The sequence below is a fragment of the Homo sapiens genome, chromosome 15, assembly GCF_000001405.40.
Source record: "Homo sapiens chromosome 15, GRCh38.p14 Primary Assembly".
Taxonomy (NCBI): Eukaryota; Metazoa; Chordata; class Mammalia; order Primates; family Hominidae; genus Homo; species Homo sapiens.
This window is the reverse complement of record NC_000015.10, coordinates 55,176,573-55,198,315: the sequence shown is the minus strand read 5'-3', so window position 1 is coordinate 55,198,315 and position 21,743 is coordinate 55,176,573. Positions and strand designations below refer to the sequence as shown.

Below are 21,743 nucleotides of genomic sequence, written 5' to 3'. Positions count from 1 at the left end.
AAATGCATGTCAGCAAAGGACTAACCTTAACGTGTAAAGTGCTGTTGAAAATCAACGAAAGAATAGAAAACTGCGTAGGACCTGAACAGGCAATTCACAGAAAAAAGCTGAAAAACATTGTGAAAGATTCTTAACATCATTTGTAATTAAATTCAAGTTGAAATAATAATAAGATAAATTTTCATCTCAGGTTGGCAAAGATCACTTTTCACAGCGGGGTAGTGAAACAGACATCTTATTTGTTGATGCTGAGTGTTAATTGGTAAAAACTTTTGGAAGGCAATTTAGTATTATCTGCCAAATTTTAAAACTATTTATCTATATCCAGCTCCTCTGATCCAGCAGTTCTACATAAACCCTCTCCTGAAAAAGCGTACCAACAGATACTTATTATATCAAAAGATAAGAATGCCCATCGATTAGTGACCAATTAAAATACTTTCATACAATGGCATATATATATGAAAAAGAATGTTAAATACCCTTTTACAGTAAAATATGTATCAAATGCCTATTATGTGCCAGGGACTGTTCTAGATACTGGGATGTAGTTGTAAACCAAACGAACTGAAATCCCTGCCCCTCATGGAGCTCACATTCCAATGAAGGGATACAAGGTAACAGCAAGATGCAGAAAAGAGTAAATAGCATATTAACTAGTATTATAAAGAAGAGGACGTAGAGACAGGCAAACACACAAATATACATGTTTGCCTATGCACAGAAAAGCTCTGGCAGGTAATAAATGGAACTGTTTTGCCCCTGGGGAGGAAGACCGCAGGTCTAGGGAGGGAGTCGTAGTTTCCGGCGAAAATATTTGTTTACTACATATGCATATTAATTAAAATGGGGGGGAGGCGGATAACACGATTTTATATTTAAAAAAATTGCTGGTAAAGTCCTTGGAGCATCAGCAACTCAACCGTTTTCATTGCAATGTTCGAAGCAACGCTGGATTGCAGGGTCTTCGCCGCTTACACCCTGCAAATCACTGTGGGACGAGAATCGAGGGCTGGTCTAGGGCAGGCAGTAGACAAATGAGTTAAGAGAGTGCTCTCGAGAGCACTCCGAGGCAAAGCACAAACCAAAGATACATAATACTTGCATAAATGCCGACACACAGAGAGAAAAAACTAGGCGCTGTGAGAGCAAGTTCACAAGGTGGCGCAGAACCACATTTCCCCAAAGTAACAGCGAACAGGTCTAGTCTGCAGCTCTGCGCCTGCGTCAAACGGCAGCGCATTTGACCACACGGCCGCCGGAGGCACAGTCGTGTTCGCATCTGGTCTAACAGACCCGCGAGAACGAAGGACGCTTGCCTTTTTCCGGTCGGGGAAGGGGGAAGAAGGTAACTTCCGGTGACGGGGTTGCATCACTTCCTCTCAAGCTTGGCGTTTGTTTGGTGGGGTTACACGCGGGTTCAACATGCGTATCGAAAAGTGTTATTTCTGTTCGGGGCCCATCTATCCTGGACACGGCATGATGTTCGTCCGCAACGATTGCAAGGTAAGGCGGTCGACACCAGTTCTTGCTTCAGCCTAGCTCCCGCGGTTCCTGGGCGCGGCGGCTCGGTGCTGGGTGCTTCTGCGTCTGCCGTGTTTGGCCCGGGTTCCTCCCGTTGTTCCCCTGGGAGGGTGGCTTAACTGGGCCTCCGTTCTCAACGTTCCGCTTCGGGGGTTTCTCCTTGCCCGTCTTCCGAGCGGCGCTGGCCACCACGCCACCCTTGGGTGGCGTTGGCAGCGAGGAACTTCAGGAGCGATCCCAGCTAGCGCCTACCAGGAATCTTGGATGTCTGTGAGGGCTGTTTGGCCACTCATGTACTTGGGCCAAATTCTTGAATCCAGTAAACTTTGTTGAGTGTATACCCTGTCAGGCATTACACTAAGGTCCATACTAAAGTGTAGAGGTTGATGGAAGTGTTCCGTATTGCTTAATGGTAGAGTTATGTATTAAGTTACTGCAGGTGAGTTGGGGAGGGTCCTGTACGGAAAGACTCAGCATAGAGGTGATATTTATCTTGGATCCTGAATTTTGCGGAAGAAAGCGGAGGGGGCCTTCTAAGTGGAAGGAAAGTGAACATTTTGAGAAAAGGCAGAGAACGGAGCAAATACATTTGTTTGAGGAAGTGACTGGATTGTAAATGATGATAGAGCCTTGGGCGTAGGGCTACAAGTATAATAAGTCTGTAAACGTAAATAATAAATATGAGTCCTAGTTGTGAAAGACGTTTTGAATGGTACATGAATTTGTCCTGTCATTACAGAATGAATCCCGTTCCTCTCTTTCTCAGAGAAACACATTGTTTCTCAGAATTTGATCTCTTACGTTTGCTTCTGAATTACTGGGCGTTTACAGATTCCTGGTTTTCACCAGATCTATTGAGTTGGAATCTTTGGGGGAGGGGAAGAGGGTCTAAGAATCTGTATATTAAGGTGAATTTGACGTGCTAAATAATTACAAGTCTGACTTCTTCACCTTATATCTCTGTAACAGATCAAAGATATTGACCTCATTAATTAGATCCAAGGGATTCAGCTGAAAGTGACGGACCAAAGCCATGTTTGATAACGTAAAAGAACCTAGAAGATTTTGAATACTTGCTCTCAGGAACATGATAAGAAGTTTATAAAAATGAACCAAAAGATTGCCAGGTTGGGGTCTAATTCAGAGTAGGCAGTATGGTTTTATACATGATGTCGTTACGATTTTGTGATTTTCGTCCAGGATGCTTGTCGGCTGGATATTGGAATTAGAACAACAGATCGTGAGAACTGTCAAGACCTGGGTATTGATTTGGTAGACACAGTGGAAGTTAAGTTGATGAAGAATAAGGACAGTGTTGAGTTGGTTGGGAGTCACCAGTGGATCCAGAAGAGAGTTGTTGGAGGAAATAAAAGATAGAGGGCCTGAAGCACTAACAAAGAACAAGTATCTCATCTTTTTTTATGCTTGATTTCCAAACCTAAATCTCCTGAGCTCCAAATCTGAATTTTCCATTGGATGTACCTAACAGTAGGTACAGTGGGCCTACTGAAAGAGAATTCCTTAGTACCTCAGATCTTTTTGCTCTGTGAATTAATACCACTCTTAAGTGCCCGGATAGTTTTGCTAGAAACATGAGAGTCGTCTGAATCTTTTCACCTTTTGTATCTAGTTATCAAGTCTTACCTATCCTGCCTCTGCAAAGATAGTGGTGTCTTTGCCTTCTTTCTACTTTCCTGTCCTAGTTCAGATTAGGCTCTTACCACTTTTATAGCCTCTTATCTAGCCTTTTTTTTTTTTTTTTTTTTTGAGACAGGGTCTCACTGTCTATTGCCCAGGCTGGAGTGCAGATGTGTGATCATGGCTCTCTGCAGCCTCAGTCTCCTGTACTTAAGCAGTCCTCCCTCCTCAGCATGCTGAGTAGCTGGGACTACAGGTGTGCACCACCATGCCCAATATCAAAAAAATTTTTTGTAGAGACGGGGAGATTAACATTGTGTGTGTGTGTGTGTGTGTGTGTGTGTGTGTGTAGAGACAGAGGCTTGCTATGTTTCCCAGGCTTTAACTAGTCTTTCTGCCTTTATTCTCTTAGTTTCTGAGACTGTTATTAATAGAAACTTCACCTTTTACTCTTCTTAGGCATAAATGGGTTAAGGGTAGAATTAATGCTAATTCTCTATATTTGCACATACTTTGCAAACAGGGAAAATACATTCTTAATGAGGGCTTAATAAATGTTGAATTAGTGGAATAAGAAAGGTTTGAAGAACTTTGAGTCCAAGGTATGGGGGATCATTTGTTAGCATGTTAGCATTTAGGGGACTAAATTAAAAGAGAAACTTGAAACCATAAAGCTTTGCCTGACACATAAGCCATCCACCTCTTACCCCACCATAGATTTAACCACTTCCTCATATGTGTTTACATATTACATTATACATGATTATAACTTTATCCCATTGTTTATATCCTAGTCAGATCTTGATCTTTCTTGATTGCAAAGTGAGATTATCACATTGCTAGACTAAGCTTCTCAAGGTAGAGTACCAAATTTTAATTGTTCTTGTATCCTTAGCACTAGTACAACATCAGGCACATAGATGCTCTTTATTTACTGATTGAATCCCCTTTGCACCTCCTCTGGTTCCAGGTCTCTGTAGATCCTTCATTGTGCCTTTCAGGTAATACCTATTAGTTAAGGAACCAACTAGATTCCTCATTGGGTCTATTTGGAATTGAGAGGAGCCAAAACAAATTTAGTCCTCCCATTAGATAAATAGTAGAAAAAGGAATTTGCCTAAGGGATATCTAGTAGATATTAAATGTGGGAGGCTTTTGCTTAAAAAATAATAGTATTTTGGGCTGAAAATACTCAAAATATAATTCATTTCACAATGATTTTCATATATTCATTTTTTATTTATGATTTCATAGTAGGCTACTCCAGGAGACTAGTAGTTCTTATATTTTCTAGTCTATTTGAAACTAACTCAAGGATATAGACATGCTTTCACTCTAGTGTCTTAGGAGAAGGCTCTGTAGGAGGTATGGGCCTGGATCAGATTAAACTAATAGCAACAGTTTCTAAGAAAACTGTCCTACTGTATGTAGTGACCTACTTGAAGTTCCCCTTAGGGCAACATATATAAAAGGTGAAAAGTATTATGATTTGTGATACATACACAGGCTTATTTAGTTTGAAGTGTTTGTACTGTTTACTTTGACCTATTATCTGTCATACCTTTTAGGTGTGATAATTCAACTTAATTTTCTTTACCAAGATCCACAAACCCCAAATAATTACTTTTTCTCTTCCCATTTCCTCCAGGGCATACACAAATTGCAGTGTGTTCTAAGGCATTACAAAGTAACAAAATAATACTGTTAGATTTATAAAATGAGTCCTAATAAGACATTTCAGGGACATGTTGAAGCATCATCAGTTGTAAGTTAGCACTATTAAAGGATTAAATCTTGTAGGATGAAGGTGGAGAGTTAAAGTAGTAAAGAATCTTGCTAGCAGATCTGTGAGTAAGTCGAAAACGAATCTGTTATATCACCAGTTTTACTTGCTTTTGAAATTATTTTGTGCTTTCAACAAGGAAGATGGAAAGACCCAAAGGAGATTTCAGAATGGTTGTTTGAAACTTTTATCCCCATTGAGGTATAAAGACAGTGAATTTTGAAAATTATCCTGAATTAAGAAAGGACTTAAATAAATGACTTTACTTAAAACTGTTCCCTTTATTTGAAATAATTTTACTGTTATTCTATATAAATGATTAGTAATTTAAAATAATATTTTCAGGGCCCTTAGCCTTTGGTTGGGATGATGTTTGATAGTCAAAAAATAGTTGTTTCCATTTAATCTGATATATCTTACACATTTCTAAATGGCAGTTTAAGTAGAAGGGAAAGTATTTTTTGTCTAGCAGGGGTAACGTCTTGTGATAGAAAAGTTTTTAATGTTGACTTCTCAATATTTTAACTTTTCTTGTAGGTGTTCAGATTTTGCAAATCTAAATGTCATAAAAACTTTAAAAAGAAGCGCAATCCTCGCAAAGTTAGGTGGACCAAAGCATTCCGGAAAGCAGCTGGTAAAGAGCTTACAGTGGTGAGTACGGTTAGCTATCAATATAGTTTTTACACGTTTCACAGTTTTAGTATTTGAAGGGTATATGTCATCTAATCAATCATAACAAGGCCTCCTATAACATGATTAATAAGTACCTTATTTGTATTTGGCTGTGGAAATAATCTCATTCTCACATGATCCTTAAAACTGTAATTCTGTGGAGCTACTATTTTTAGCTCTTGCAGACCAAGAGGAAAATCACTTAAATGGCTTGGGATGAAGTTGGGAATTGCTACTGAAAGATTTTGAGATGAAGTTAAGAGATAAAGGATTTCTGAACAGCAGTCAAGGCTCAGGTGAAGTTTATAATAGACTCATTTATCAGTTTCTGGATTTCCTTAGCAGGACTTTGTATCTGAGAGCAGAGAAATTAGTAGTGTTGGTGTGAGGAGAACTAGAGAGAAGTCAGGGGGAAAGAGGATTTAATGGAGTGAGCCTCTATCATTATATTGTTATATTGAATTGATAAAAGGGTATTTTGAAGCTGTCCACGTTCAGTCCCTGCAAAGGAAGGAGATGAAAATGCAGTACAGGCTACATTTGAGGGAGGAAGATCTTTTAAACTGTCCTCTCCATCCATGGCTTCCTTTACCCACCAAACCAATGACCCATTTCCCACCTTTTTATTGCTAAAGGGCAGTATCTACAAGCATTTTCCATGAAGCCCTTTCCTGGCCTCCTTAATACCAGAGCTTTGCAATGAATGTAAAGACTATTGTTTGACCAGATGCAAGGCCAAATCATAATTACTGTCACAAAAATAATTTTCATTCTGGAAGAAAAGAAGCATAGCAGCCCAAATGCAAGTGGCAGCTGCCTGAGGAAACACTGCCGGTCACAGTCATTTACTGATTACCATTTACCTCGTGGCTGAGGTTATTATGATCTGAATAAAGCTGTGTATATATAAAAGAAATAGTAGCCAAATCCAGAGGTAGTGCTGTTTTATATGCCTGTCAGATAGATTTGAAAACCAAGAAATACCTGTAGCTTTTCCAAAATTGTTTTGTGTGTTTTAAGATTAAAAGGATCATTAACTGTAAAAATACCAGCCACTAGCAACGGTAACCGTGTTTGGAGGGGATCTGAAGAAATGTAGGGCCTGACTTTTATTCTGCAGAGTAGCACCTCATTTATTTGAAGATATATATAGTTTTCATACCTTTTTGCTATAACATAGATATTTAGGTTGAACCATATGAAGTTTTCTCTCTCTTTTTTTTTTTCTGTCTCCTACAGGAAGAACATGGAATTCTTGATGTTGACTTTTTTTGATCTGTAAAAAATGGCAGTTTCATATGGTTCAACATAATTCAAAGTTTTCTGGCTTTGAATCTTATCTGGGAATGGGACATTGGGAAGGTTTTTCAGTTTGTAATCCTGATAATTGTTATATGCCCTTCTGAGGGATGGGGGTGTTACTGTCTCCTCCTTTCTCTTTGAGAATCACTAGTATATGGAGAGATGTCTTCAATAGGGAGGTGTGTAAAGGAGAAAAAATTTGAAAACCTATATTCTCTGAGATACCCTGAGGGGTGAATCTAGGTGTATGTTCATTTAGAACACTTAGGAAAAGGAAGACGTTTTAAGAAATGTTTCCTTTCTACCTTTCTTAAAACCTTATTTTTATCTCCTCTGTTCCCTCTTACAGGATAATTCATTTGAATTTGAAAAACGTAGAAATGAACCTATCAAATACCAGCGAGAGCTATGGAATAAAACTAGTAAGTCACAAAGAAATACCAGTAATTTTGAGGAGAGACTGGTTTGGGATAATACTATAACTTTAAGTGTCAGTTTGTTGTTTAAATATTGAATTTTCCATTTATCATTCCTTGGCTTTTATTATTTTATCCTCATTTTAATGGTTCTGTTGTAGTCAGATCTTTCATCATTTTTTTTTTACAATTGGCTGGTGTGTTCATTTTAAAATAATGTAATTATTAACTTTGATACTACTTGAAGTGCCCACACAGAGATGTAAAAACATAAAAATGGCTGAAAAAAATAGAGACGGAAAATACTGTTTTAGGGTGAGTGTGGGATGGTTAAAATACACATGAAACCTAACACACTTTACATGTTTAGACCATATAGTTTAGGATATAAACTTGTATTCTGTATACCTTATAAAATTCAGTGCTTCTTTAAAATTAAAAAGTGTAGTGCTTAAGGTCATCATTACAAATGTTCTGAGAGAATTTCTAAGTGTTTGACTTAGGTAAAAAATGAAGTTATAATCTTCTGAAATTAAAAGCAATAATATCTAGTTCTTGTTTTTTTTGTTTTGTTTTGTTTTGTTTTTTTTCCCTGAAATAGGCAGAAAGTTTAATGAAAAAAGTCTCATATGTAGAAAAAGTTAATCCCTTGAGCTAGCTTGTAGATTCTACCACATTTGTGTATGTTTGGGACCCTTGGCCTTGCCTTTTTTTTTTTTTTTTTTTTTTTTGAGTTGGAAAGTCTTGCTCTGTCCCACCGGCTGGAGTGCAGTGGCACGATCTCGGCTCACTGCAATCACTGCCTCCCAGGTTCAAGCAATTCTCCTGCCTCAGCCTCCCAGGTAGCTGGGATTACAGGCACATGCCACTACACCTGGCTAATTTTTGTATTTTTAGTAGAGATGGGGTTTTGCCATGTTGGCCAGGGTGGCCTTGAACTCCTGACCTCAAGTGATCCTCCCACCTTGGCCTCCCAAAGTGCTGGGATTACAGGCGTGAGCCACCATGCCTGGCACCGGCCCGGCCTTCTTTTCTTCCCATGGCTACCTTTATGCAGCCTGTAGCTATTTCTAGTATTGGGTGTGGGGGTGATGTGGTTTGTTAACCAGAGTCTGTAAGGCTTAGAATTCCACAAACTTTATTACTCTGCTAATGGATCATAGGCAGGGCATCCCTTTGTGTCCTCCAGTCAGTCACGAGACTTCAGGGGAAGAACTGAAAATTTGTGGACCTTTGTGGTAGTATTTATACCTTCTGAACCAGGGGCATCCAATCTTTGGCTTCCCTGGGCCACATTGGAAGAAGAATTGTCTTGGGGCACACAGAAAATACACTAACACTAATGATAGCTGATGAGCTAAGGGAAAAAAAAATTGCAAAAAAAATCTCTTTATGTTTTAAGAAAGTTTACGAATTTATATTGGGCCGTGGGTTGGTCAAGCTTGTTCTAAAGCTTTGTTTACCTAGGACCATGTGGAGAAACTGGAGTTTAGATTTGGAATTGCCTTTTCTGTACTTAGCCCTAATTATTGTACCCTTTGGGTCTCCCCCAACCCCTTTTTAAAAAATAAGGTCTTTTCCTTCTGCTTTATAATTAGAGGAGGAGTTAATTTCTGAAAAGCAGTTGATTTTTATTGGGTTTATTTGGTAAGGAAATAACACTTATTCAAACTCAAGGATTTCTAAAGAGATTAACTATAGGATTCTTAAATTGATTTCAAAAGGCACTCTTATCAAGGACATTATTGGAAAGTCCTGAAGCATTTCTTTTTTTTTTTTTTTTTTTTGAGATGGGAGTCTTGCTCTGTCACCCGGGCTGGAGTGTAGTGGTGGGATCTCGGCTCACTGCAATCTCCGCCTCCCGGGTTCAAGCAATTTTCCTGCCTCAGCCTCCCGAGTAGCTGGGACTACAGGCACACGCCGCCACGCCCGGCTAATTTTTTTGTATTTTAGTAGAGACGGGGTTTCACCATGTTGCCCAGGCTGGTGGTGAACTTCTGAGCTCAGGCAATCTGCCTGCCTTGGCCTCCCAAAGTGCTGGGATTACAGGCGTGAGCCTCCGCACTTGGCCAGTCCTGAGGCATTTCTGGACTTCATTCAGTTTTATTTCATTTTGACCTTTGTTGTTGTTATTATTACTTGAAGACAGCAGCTCCAGATCATTTTTACATATTTTGTAACTACTTTTACTTAGCGGGTATTTAGGTTGTTGTTGAAAAGAGTTGCATATACAATTTTAGCGATATGTGAATAATCAGTTCCATGGTCCTCCATGCTGGTGTCATGTTATTTACATTGCTCGAGAGAAATACTGCTGTGTTCTGTATGACTTCACATACTGTAATGGTAGTGTTCTCTACAGTTCTTAATTTATTTTAATTCAGTGCACATTTATTAAGCACTGCCTGTGGCATACAAAGATGAACACGTCACACACGGTCTCTGCCCTCTAGGTGCACTTACTGAGTACTCCTATTTTATTGTTTCTGTTAGGTTTTATTACAGAGTCTCATTCTCTTGCCCCCCACATTTATACATCTGTAAATTCTGTAAGAAGCAGTGCTCTATTGATTTCTTTTTTCCTGCACTGATTCTGCTTTCCTTTTTACTGGGATCCTAAAAATAGATTTTTCTGAGAAGATCTGCTAAGTGTACAGTATGAGTGCTAGGTAAATAGTATGAGAGTCTTTGGAATTTAAGATTGTTTCATGATATTTTATACAATTAAGAAAAGTTGTTTTCAGTAGTGTTCCAGAACAATATATTATTCTTCTAAGAGATTCATTGATTCTCCACACCCCTCGTATTTCAGTATCATTTGGTCTATAAACTAATCTATTGACAAGAGTTGTATATTCATTGCTTACATTATCAAATTGTGTGAGGATATGGATTAAACAACCTTTGTTAAGGTACTGATGTCTGTAGAAACAGTAGTATGTTAGAATTTCAAAAATACCGGGAAAAATAGTTTGCACTTTGTCCCTCATGGCTGTCTGTGTTGCAGGTGAATTGTTAATATCTGTCAGATTTTTTTTTATTTTTTATTTTAACTTTTTACATATTTTTGTTGAACTTTTTTTTAATCTTAATAGCTTTTGGGGTACAAGTGGTTTTTTTGGTTACATGGATTAATTGTAGATTGTCAGAATCTGAGATTTTAGTGCATCCATCACCTGAGTAGTGTACATTGTACCCAATCTATAGTTTTTACCCCTTACCCCACCCCACTCCCCCTTCTGAGTCCCATAGTCCATTATACCACTCTGTATGCCTTTGCGTGCCCATAGCTTAGCCCCTGCTTACAAGTGAGAACATACAGTGTTAGCTTTTCTATTCCTGGGTTACTTCATTTAGAATAGTGGCCTCCAGTTCCATCCAAGTTGCTGTAAAAGACATTATTTCATTCCTTTTTTTGGGTGAGAACTATTCCATCATGTATAAATACCACATTTTCTTTACCCACTTGTTGGTCGATGGGCACTTAGGTTGGTTCCATATCTTTGCAGTTGTGAATTGTACAGTTAGATGCTTCTTAGGTTCAAAATATTTCAGTATTCTGGAATATTTGGAAATACAGCATATTATTCTTTGGAAGGGATTTTCCTGCCACTTGTGTTTATTTCCCTTCTAAATAAGTTTAAAGTGTGGAAATGCTTTTGAGTACTAGAACTTGTACTTATTTTTGCTGAAAGACAAAGAAAAAAAGTTATATATCCAGCATATTATTAATTCTGAGCTACAGCATATGCAGATTTATAGTTGACATTTTCTTAGAGTTATTTATACAAACATTGCTTTAATACTAGAGGTCTCAAAGATTGTCCTGGTGGTTTTTGTTAAAATGTAGATTCAGATATAGTAGGTTTGTGTGGGGCCTGAAATCCTTCATTTCTAACAAGCTCCCAAATGATGCCACTGTTACTGGTCCCAGGCTACATTTTAAAAGTTTTTATTTTGACCTAATTTCAGATTACAGAAAAGTTGCACGAGTAGAGTTCTCTGATATCCTTCATCCAGACTCCCTGAATGTTAACATTTTGTTAAATTAATTTTTTCTCTTTGTCTCTCTTCTTTCTCCCTTTCTCCCTTTAGTGTATATTTTTCTGAACTGTTTAAGCATGCAAAATACTTCTTGGTCCCTAGTTTAATATGTATTTCCAGAAATAAGAGCATTCTCACATAACCACACTGCAATTATTAAAATCAAGAAATTAACATTGATAGACTATTATTACCTAATCTTAGTCCTATTCATATTTCTCCAATTGTCCCAGTAATATCCTTTATAGCAAAATTTGTAAGAATAGTACATGTCATGTCTCTTTAATCTCTTGTAATCTGGAACATTTCCTGAGTTTGTCCTTATATTTCATGATATTGACAGTTTAGAACAATATGGGCCAGGCGTTTGGTATAAAATTTCTTAACTGGATTGTTTGGTGTTTCCTTCAGATTAGGTTTGGATAATGCACATTTGGCAAGAGCACCAGAGATTTGATGCTGAGTTTTTTCAGTGTGTTTTGTCAGGAGACACAAGCTGTCCATTAGTTCCATTACTAGCAGTGTTAACTTTGATCATTAGGTTAAGGTGGTGTCTGCCAGGTTTTTCCACTGAAGAGTTACTGTTTTACTCTTTTTAATTAATAAGTATACTTTTGAGAGATACTTTAAGACTATATAAATATCTTATTATTCTTTAGATCTACAGACTACACTTTAAAGAGCTAGACTAGATCAGAAGTGTCTGAGCTACTGAGCCAGTCTAAATTGCGTTGTGCTGTAAATGTGAAATGAATGCTGGATTTTGAAGACTTAATATGAAAACAAGGATAAAATGTTTCACTAGTAATTTTATATAGATTGCATGTTGAGTGACAGTATTTTGGAAATTTGGGTTAAATAAAATGTATCATTAAATTTCCTCCTGTTCGTTTTTACTTTAAAAAATACGGCTACTAGAAAATTTAAAATTTCATATGTGGTTTGTCTTTCATTGGATAGTACTGATAGAAATTTTAGAGCATAGTTGGACTCAGCCCCCTTTTAGCCAACACTCCTGTAGGCATTTTCTAAAACAGTTGGATTTTTGTGGTTGAGAACTTAGTAGTATTGATTGTTTGGTTCATTCTGCTAATATCATGTGCTGACCATATCCCAGGCACTTTTAAGTGTTCATAACCAGAAAGATGCTGTCTTTATTCATGGAAATTACAAGTTAAGAATGGGATTAGTTGTCAGTAGTCCAAGTTCTCTTTATAGTAAAATTTGAAAAGCATTGGATTGGTTTAAAGTGGAAGGAAAATTTAACAGCAGTAGAGACTTTTGTCAGATAAAAATTAGAGAAATGATACTTGTGAAAGAGAATGTTGAGAGTCATGATGGCCAGGAGTATACACCTTCTTCAGCTTTTTGAGTAGGGATTGTTTTTGTAATGATTTTTTTCATGTAAATTCATTTCTAAATCAGAATAATAAAGAAGTGTTTGTTAATGCAGTTGTTGATCATACCGCTTGAATGTGCATACATTTGCTAACTCATGAATTTTTTTGTAGTTGATGCGATGAAGAGAGTTGAAGAAATCAAACAGAAGCGCCAAGCTAAATTTATAATGAACAGGTATGAATATTTGTATGGAGTAACTTTTGGAAAATAATTACTAGTAGATATTTAGAGGCATTAGTATTTTTTAAAAAAATTTTTTATTTTGACATAACTTCAGACTTACCAAAAACTTCAAGGAATAATATGAAGAACTCTTGTATATTCTGCTAGCATTTTACATTTACTTTATCCTTGTCTCAATGTATTGAAGACATAATGCTTTTTCCTTCTAAGTATACTTAAGTGTGTGTAACCTAAAAATAAGAACATTCTCTTAAATAAACACAGTATGGTTATCTATCAGTCAGGAAATTAACATTGATGTAATACTATTATATAATCTATAAACCTTATTTAGACCTCACCAGTTATTCTGATTACGTCCATAGCAACACAAAGTCCTTCATATTTCTTCAGGCTCCTTTAATCTGGACAGTTTCTCATCTTTCTTTTACGTGACATTGATAGTTTTGAAGACTATAGGTCAAGTTATTGTATAGAACGTTCTTCAATTTGGGTTTGTCTGATACCTTCCTCATTAGATTTTGGCTAGGCACCTTTGGCAGGGATGTCTCAGAAATGATGGCGTATCCTTCTCATGCATCATATCGGGAAGCACATGATGTCACCTTGCTGGTGATGTTAACTTTGATCACTTGATTAAGGTGATGTCTGTCAGGTTTCTCCACTGGAAGATTACTATTTTGTTTTCCTTATAATCAGTACGTATTTTGGGGGAGATACATAGAGATTCAGTAAAAAGCCTATTACTCCTCAAACTTGTACCTACTGGTTTTGGTTTTCATTAGAGTCTTGCCTGAATCAGTTACTACTATTGTTGTGATTGTTGCCAAATGGTGGTTTTTCTAATTCCATCATTTCTTCTACATTTTTTAGTTGATTTTCTCATGTAAGAAAGAGCTTTCCCTTTTCCATCAATTTCAAGATTTATTCCTTTATTCATATTACATCTGTGTGTATTCATGGATTCTTATGGTATACATTGGGTTATAATTCTTTATTGTCATTATTTATTTTGAAGTTCTAAGTGGCCCATATTTGGCCTGTGGGAGTTCCTTCAGGCAGACTGTCATGTCATTTTGACAATTCTCCTCATTCTTTGAGTGCATTCATGTTTTATAGCTAACAAGATGTTTCCTCTTCCCCAGCTTGGAATCAACTATTTTTTTCAGAGCAGGACCATTAGCTTTTAAATTAATTGCTATGGAATATGTCATGGAAAAGAAGCACGTGCCAGCAGCTTTCTGGCTTAAAAATTTTAAAGCATTTCACAAAAATGTTTGAAAACTAGTCTGTTAGCATTTCTATTGAATATCATGTGATTTGTGCTCTTGTAATTACCCAATGGTTTTTTAAAAATTATATAACAGAGACTTATCTATTTGAGGAGAAAAGATCTAGGCACTGTAACAGTTAAAGGTTGTTTTATGTAGTAGAGCACTGCTTCTTTTCATGACTCACATCCTTCATTTACTTAGCAAATATGTATTGAGCTCCCATTTCGTGCCAGTCTAGGTACAAAGAATGAATGAATGAATAAGTGTTGTGGTAGGGTAGGAATCCTATTTTGAGCTAATTACGAACTAAAAAACCACTTTGAGTTTGAGTTGTTAGAGAAGAAAATGTACATTTGTGAGGGCTTAACAGGTGACCTTACCTTAGATTTGGGAATAAATGTAAGGTATATATCTCTTTTAGGTTAAGTTCACCACTTGCCATTTGGGAGTAATGTGAGAGGACTGAGAGGCTCTGTTCACTTGGTGTTGATGCTCCTGCTGGATGGGGGGCGTTGTGGGGAGAAGAAAGGGGAGTGAACAGAAGGGCAGCCATCATGTTTCCATTCCCCATCTGTGGGGCTAACTTAAGTAACAAAATTTAGAAGCTGTATTGTGAATTGATGCCTCTTAAAGCAGTGTTAGTAACTGAAATTTTGGCTTTAATATGTTTTGTTGTAGATTGAAGAAAAATAAAGAGCTACAGAAAGTTCAGGATATCAAAGAAGTCAAGCAAAACATCCATCTTATCCGAGCCCCTCTTGCAGGTGAGTACTACATTGCACATCTAGATTTTTGTGGTCTGTGTATTTGGGTACCAACTAACTTTGGGTATTTTTTCCTATAAATATTATCTTTCATAGTAAATTTATGATATGATTTGGCCTATAAAAATGTAATTTATTCAGTGTATTTCCCAATTGCAGTCAGTCTATTTATATGGTGTTTCTTTTTTGCCTTCATTGAATTCTATGTTCCATATCCCCCCAAGTTATGCAAAATGATTTGCGTAATAATTTTGTAGATGATTTTTGTCTTGCACTTGTATTGATTAAAGGACTATATTTTTTATTAGTGGTTCTCAAACTTTGGTTGGTATCAGAATTACCAACTTGGGGAACTTAGTATAAATACATAGGCCCAGGCTCTTTGAGTCTGGGCCACTGTTCAGTAACATCCCAGATGATTCTGATACTAAAATTGGGACTACTGTTTCTTTTGCTCAGCTAACACCAGTACAGTCTTTTATGCAATTTACTTATGTAGATCACTTAAAGGGAAAGAAATCTTAGTAAAGGTCAAATTCTGTAATCACATATTGAGTACATTTGTGTAGATCTACTTGTATTATTTTTGTACCAAATTTTATTAAAACAAAATAGGCAAAATTCTGGAGCATTTGTTTCACATATACATGATAACAAACTGATAGTCAAAAAGCACCAGAAATGAACCATTGTTATCTAAGTTTTTAGGTAATCCTCTTTGAGGTAGATAGAACAGTGTTAAGAGCAGGCACCTTGGATCCAGATGGCTGGGGTTCACATGCCAGCACTTTGACTTAAATGGCTTTCTAGTTGAGTGACCTTCAGCAAGTTAATCTGTCTTTGAGCCTCAGTTTTCTCATATTTAAAATGGGGGTTGTTATGAGGGTGAAATGAGCAAATAAATGTATGTAGAATGTTTATTTGATGCATGGCATATCATAAGACCTATGTTAGTTTAGCTACTATTAAATTTCTTAGGAGTGGCTAATATTACTTGAAAACATGCAAGATCCTTTATAAAGTGTTGGTGTGAATTCTGTAAGGTCACATTTAATTAAGTTGTTTATTTTTTACTTATTTTTATTAAAGGCAAAGGGAAACAGTTGGAAGAGAAAATGGTACAGCAGTTACAAGAGGATGTGGACATGGAAGATGCTCCTTAAAAATCTCTGTAACCATTTCTTTTATGTACATTTGAAAATGCCCTTTGGATACTTGGAACTGCTAAATTATTTTATTTTTTACATAAGGTCACTTAAATGAAAAGCGATTAAAAGACATCTTTCCTGCATTGCCATCTACATAATATCAGATATTACGGATGTTAGATTGCATCTCAGTGTTAAATCTTTACTGATAGATGTACTTAAGTAAATCATGAAAATTCTACTTGTAACTATAGAAGTGAATTGTGGACGTAAAATGGTTGTGCTATTTGGATAATGGCACTAGGCAGCATTTGTATAGTAACTAATGGCAAAAATTCATGGCTAGTGATGTATAAAATAAAATATTCTTTGCAGTAAAATATTCCCTTTGTTAATGTTATAGAAGGGGGGATACAAAAAGGAACTAACAATTTGTATGGCAGTGTCAGATATTTTTATTTTAGTATTTCCTGTTTTGGTTTATTTGCATCTTAGAAGAGCATAATGACATTGTTTGATGAAGCCTAATTATGCTGGACTGTTTTGACCTGGTTTAACCCTTCTGATAGGTAGTTGTGGATGCTGGGGATGAGAACTGAATAATCTTTGCCTGGAGTGACACTACACTCTAGAATTTCCACTTTGGAGAATACTCAGTTCCAACTTGTGATTCCTGATAGAACAGACTTTACTTTTCTAGCCCAGCATTGATCTAGAAGCAGAGGAATCCCAGCGCCTTTTAAAAGTTGTTATGTGGTTTTCTTTTAAAAAGCTCCTGTTTTTGGAAAGTAGAATTTATGGGTACAACGTATGTTCATTATTTGTACATAAAATAAAACCATTTAAAAAGTAATGCTGATATTTATTCTTTAAAGGCACTAAACAAAGATATGAAATATTGATGACCTGGAAGAAGAAATCTTCCTCCACACATCCCATTTAAGTAGGAGATACATTTAATTAAAGAGAAATAGATACTTAATACTTAATGTTTTGTGTTTTTACATTGTTTACAGTTTTAAGTATGTTAAATACATTAAGTAACGATCAGTTTGCATAATGGTTTTTTTAGGGTAGAGTTTAAAATCAGTAATTCTTAGCCTTACATAATTATAAAGTAATGGCTCATTTTTTGTTTCAGTATTAGATAGTAAAACTAAGGCTGTAGACCAGTCCCTGGACCAAGTGTTAGGAGACCTGAGTTCCAATGTGGTTTTGCCTGGGTATTCTTATTTGTAAATAATATTATTGATTGAAGATTAGGGGAAATGATACATGTGAGGAAAGACATTTGTAAAATTTCTTGGGTTTTTACTACATACCGTATTCATTTTTTAAAGAAATAAACATTTTGAAAGTTACGTTTTATTAGGAAACAAGTGTCCTACCTTGCCAGCGAAGGAGCAAGCTGCCCTTGCTTTGCGACCATCAGTTTGGGGGAAATTGGGCTGAATTGAAGAGCTGATGTTGCATCTTAAGTTTAGCATCCAAACAGTTCTCTTCCTTGTCATGATTTCATAGTATTGTGAGAACCCAGATCTCATTCTAAACTATATGGATACAAATGCCATAATTTTTTTTTTCATCCCACCATAACCCTCTAAGCTTGTTTGGATCACTTCCCATGAAAATGTTGCCTGAGAAGTTGTTATGGTATAATACTTTTAGGCTACCTTGTTTTAGCTTGTTTGGTAGAGGCCTGTGCTGAGTAGCTAGCAGTGAAACAAAGCATAATGTTTACTACAGGGAACTTTTTTTTTTTTGAGACAGGGTCTGGCCTTGTTGCACAGACTGGAGTGCAGTGGTGTGATCTTGGCTTACTGCAACCCCTGCTTTCCTGGCTAAAGTCATCCTCCCACCTCAGCCTCCCAAGTAGCTGGTACTAAGGCTTGCACCACCTTGCCTGGTTGATTTTTGTCTTATTATTTTTTTTTTTCTTAGAGACAGGGTTTCACCATTTTGCCCAGGTTGGAACAATACAGGATTGGAAATCATGGGAAGGAATATCCTTAACACATATACCTTACAATACCTTGTAAGAATACAGAAAAACTATTTTTGAAAATTCTTATTTCTTAAAAATAGAAACCTTAGGAAGAAGTTTATCTTGTAGATAAACTTCTGTATCTATAAGAGTTTGAGAAGAGTTTAGAAGAGTAAGTTTAGAAGAGTTTGAGTTTAGAAGAGTTTGAGAAGATTGGCTTATTTCACAGTATCTCATGAAGTAGATAGCATTATTCCCATTTAAATATATAGGTAGAAAACTTTGAGGACTAGGTAACTTGTTCCTTTACCACACAACTAGAATATCAAGGTGTTAGTGATTTGTGTTTATACAAGTCTGTTTCCCTGCATTTATGTAGGATTTTATCCAGAGCCTTGTGTATCAAGTCTTCACAAGTCCAGATAACAGCTAAGAGAGTGACACTCAACTTGACTGTGACTTGGTTTCTTCATCTGAAAAATGAAGTTAATAATAGGACCAACCCTGGAATTCTTTGCAAGGATTCAATCAGCTAATACATGTAAAATACTTAAAGGCCACCACCATAGTAAGCTAGTGTTAAAATGTTAGCTATTAGGATTGGTTGTGTGTGGCCACACAAAACAACAGCAATGAGATTCGACTTGGGAGAAAGGTGGAGAGTGTTAAGGTTTGGGGATAGCTGTGGCTAAATTGAGTGAAGTCCACTTAATCAACAAAAACAGGGACATGTATGGTTTAAAACATCAATTTTAGCCTTCAAGTCAGCCAGAAAGTTGTTACTAAGAAGAGCATCTCACTACCTGAGCATTTTCTGTTGTGAAGAGTGGGAAGGGGAAATACATTTTTGGTTCCTCTTAGTTTGAAAAAATGAATAGTTTCCTGTAATCTTAAGGGATAATTTAAGTGACATAAGGGAAGTTACTTTTCCCTTTGCCCTTTAATTTACATTTTAAATGGAGATCTGGAAAAAGACATCAGACTTTAATTGCTCACAGCTTAAGGTAAATTCTAATATCCAATGCAGAGTTCTGTGTAAAAGTTAACATGGCAGCTTGCTGAATTGTGTTGAAAAGACAAGGGGAAAACATCAACATTAAAAACTTAAAAACTAAATTTCAAGGACTCTGGAAGGATTTCCCAGTCTATATTCCTTGATTAATATGTTGTAGGATTGAACAGGAGATCCACAAATTGTACCTTGCATGTCTTCATGTTTATTTGAATCGTTTCTACAAAAGGGGAAATTACCTCTTTTGAAGAATGTATTCCTTATGCTAAATAAGAGTCTACCTTCTGGTGCTGCTATAGGATGACCTCTGATTTAAGCTCTCCCGTTTTAATCTTAATCAACTGAAGCTAGCATGTGGGAGAGGTGATTCTTCTGCCGCATGATCTTCCCTGGGGTACCAGTTACCTGGTCTCTTTCTTTAGCCTCTGATTGATTCTGTGTCTCCCTATGATCCTGCTAATAAGTTCCTTTTTATCAAAGTTTGCAGCCCCAAATTTTAACTGGAAGGCATCCTCCAACATATCCAGGTAATGCATTTCTATCATAATTTCCAAGAGCGCGGGGACTGTTTGTTTCTTATCCCAGGCATGTATTGGGTACCAGGACCATAGAAGGTGCTCAGTCAATGTCAACTAAATGGAAAATGAGTGTGTAGCCATATGCTAGGTTTACATTAGTCTATTTTAAAAATAACCAGTAATTTGAAAGATACAAAGAATAAATTAACAACAGAGAGATATACCAAGAACAGAAGCAGCCCGTGTGACTGTGACATTAATGAAATCTGTGCTGTTGGGAAGGCTTGCTGGGGAGCAGTGCTGGCTTTAGGGTTACATATCTGATTTTTGCTTCTTAGATCATTATCGAATGGTAGTAAAAGCTGCATTTCTGGGTCTGGCTGGAGCATTCACATGTCGAAGAATCCCAGGAAAGACAGCATGAGCTGTTTTTTTGGCAAGTTTCTTAAAGAACTTTTGTCTGGAACTTGCTTTGTTGATGGAAATAGTCCTTTACTTCAATAGCCAGAGTATAAAATTAGAAATAAGGAGAACGAATTAGGGAGAATCTGTTGAAACAGAGATTTTTTTCTTCAAGACAAAAATATAGGACATTGGCTCCTTAGTATTGTAAGAAACTCTTTGTTTTCAGAATGCCAACTGTTACATACTTGTTTTGTTTAGTGTACTATATTTTAGAAAGTGTCTATACATTTGGTTCGACACCAAGCCTTGGAATCTTAAGAGGAACACCAGTGCGAATGCTATTCTAATCAGTTGCCCCATACAGTTTCTTAGTCTGTACTTCATGATTTTGTCACGTATTTCCTTTTATGGTGTCAGAAAACGCAATGCAGGCAGCAAGCAACTATTAAAGGCAGTTCACCTGATTAAAAGGGTATGCCATCCCAAAGCAGATGAGGATACAAAAGGCTTGTTCATGCTGTGTTAAGCTACAGTTGCATACAATCCTATCCCCTGAGTTTTTCTTCACTATTCTCAGATTCTTCATGCTGCCAGAACACAAGAGCTAGAAGCTTTCTGACTCTGTAGAGATAGAATTTCTACATTTCTAGAAACACAAGAATTACCAGAAGATGCATTAAAAGAACATACAATGGAAATAGCACGGTGGCTCATGCTTGTAATCCCAGTGCTTTGAGAGGCAAAGGCGGAAGGGCCACTTGAGGCCCGGAGTTCAAGGCCAGCTTGGGCAACATAGTGAGACCCTGACTCTTTAAAAAAAAAAAAAATAGCCAGGCACTGTGGCACATGCCTGTAGTCCTAGCTACTTGGGAGCCTGAGGCAGGAGAATTGCTTGAACCCAGGAGATCAAGACCTCAGTGAACTATGACTGTGCCACTGCACTCCAGCCTGGGTGACAACAGAGAGAGATTGTCTGCCCCCAACCCCCCCGAAAAAAGTGTAGGGAGAAAGCATCTCAAAAGATAAAAGTATCTAGGTCACAACCTCTTAGTGCCTTTGATTACACATTTGCAAAGAGGATATAGTACCCTCTAGTCCCAGAGTTGTGAGATTCCAATGACAGAGCAATAATTAAGGCCAGGTACATTGCATATATTGTCTCCCAATATCAACAACCCCGCAAGTTAGCCCTTCTTATTGTGCAGATGAGAAACAGGAAAGTTAGAGAAATTGAGTAACTTGATCTATATCACTAACAACTAGCAGAGCTTAGATTCAAGCACGGTCTGTCTGACTCCTAATCACTAGCCGATATCCTAAACAGCATCTAACATGGGGCCTGCCTGGCACATGGTTGGTCCTCAATATATGTTTTTTATTCATTGGAGGAAAAAAATCTAGCAGTAAAAGAAAATGTCTTGGGGAAATGATAGATTTTATGGAGTAGTTTAATTTTTCTTGTGACAAGAATGGATACTTTTTCTTCCCAGTTCTTTCAGGACTGACAGGATATCATTTGAGGTTAAGTGTAATTAAGACAGCAACTTTAATGAAATGACAATTTTTGAAATTTACTGTTCTTAAAAAAATTAGTACAGCAACGATATTAATTCTAGTATAATTGTTGGAGGAACTGTCTTACAGTCAGTGCTGAAATGCCTGCTAATCTTGTTAT

The 21,743-nt window shown here is 36.9% G+C and overlaps 1 protein-coding gene across 1 annotated transcript, besides 2 other annotated features; it reads left to right on the top strand.

Annotated features, from left to right (window-relative positions):
- Positions 1,364 to 2,255: an enhancer, noted in NCBI's record as "NANOG-H3K27ac-H3K4me1 hESC enhancer chr15:55488259-55489150 (GRCh37/hg19 assembly coordinates)". NCBI's record gives its function as "activates a minimal SCP1, AML or CMV promoter by ChIP-STARR-seq in naive H9 embryonic stem cells {active_cell/tissue: H9 hESC(naive)}" and the evidence as "EXISTENCE:reporter gene assay evidence [ECO:0000049][PMID:30033119]".
- Positions 1,375 to 17,510, top strand: RSL24D1 (ribosomal L24 domain containing 1). Its single transcript, NM_016304.3, has 6 exons — positions 1,375 to 1,506; positions 5,483 to 5,596; positions 7,269 to 7,341; positions 12,891 to 12,954; positions 14,916 to 15,001; positions 16,091 to 17,510. Exons 1-6 carry the CDS (start codon positions 1,426 to 1,428, stop codon positions 16,162 to 16,164), a joined length of 492 nt encoding a protein of 163 aa, NP_057388.1. The 5' UTR covers positions 1,375 to 1,425; the 3' UTR covers positions 16,165 to 17,510.
- Positions 1,411 to 1,570: an enhancer, noted in NCBI's record as "active region_9438". NCBI's record gives its function as "activates an Ori minimal core promoter by ATAC-STARR-seq in GM12878 lymphoblastoid cells {active_cell/tissue: GM12878}" and the evidence as "EXISTENCE:reporter gene assay evidence [ECO:0000049][PMID:35858748]".
- Positions 17,511 to 21,743: the final 4,233 nt, after the last annotated feature.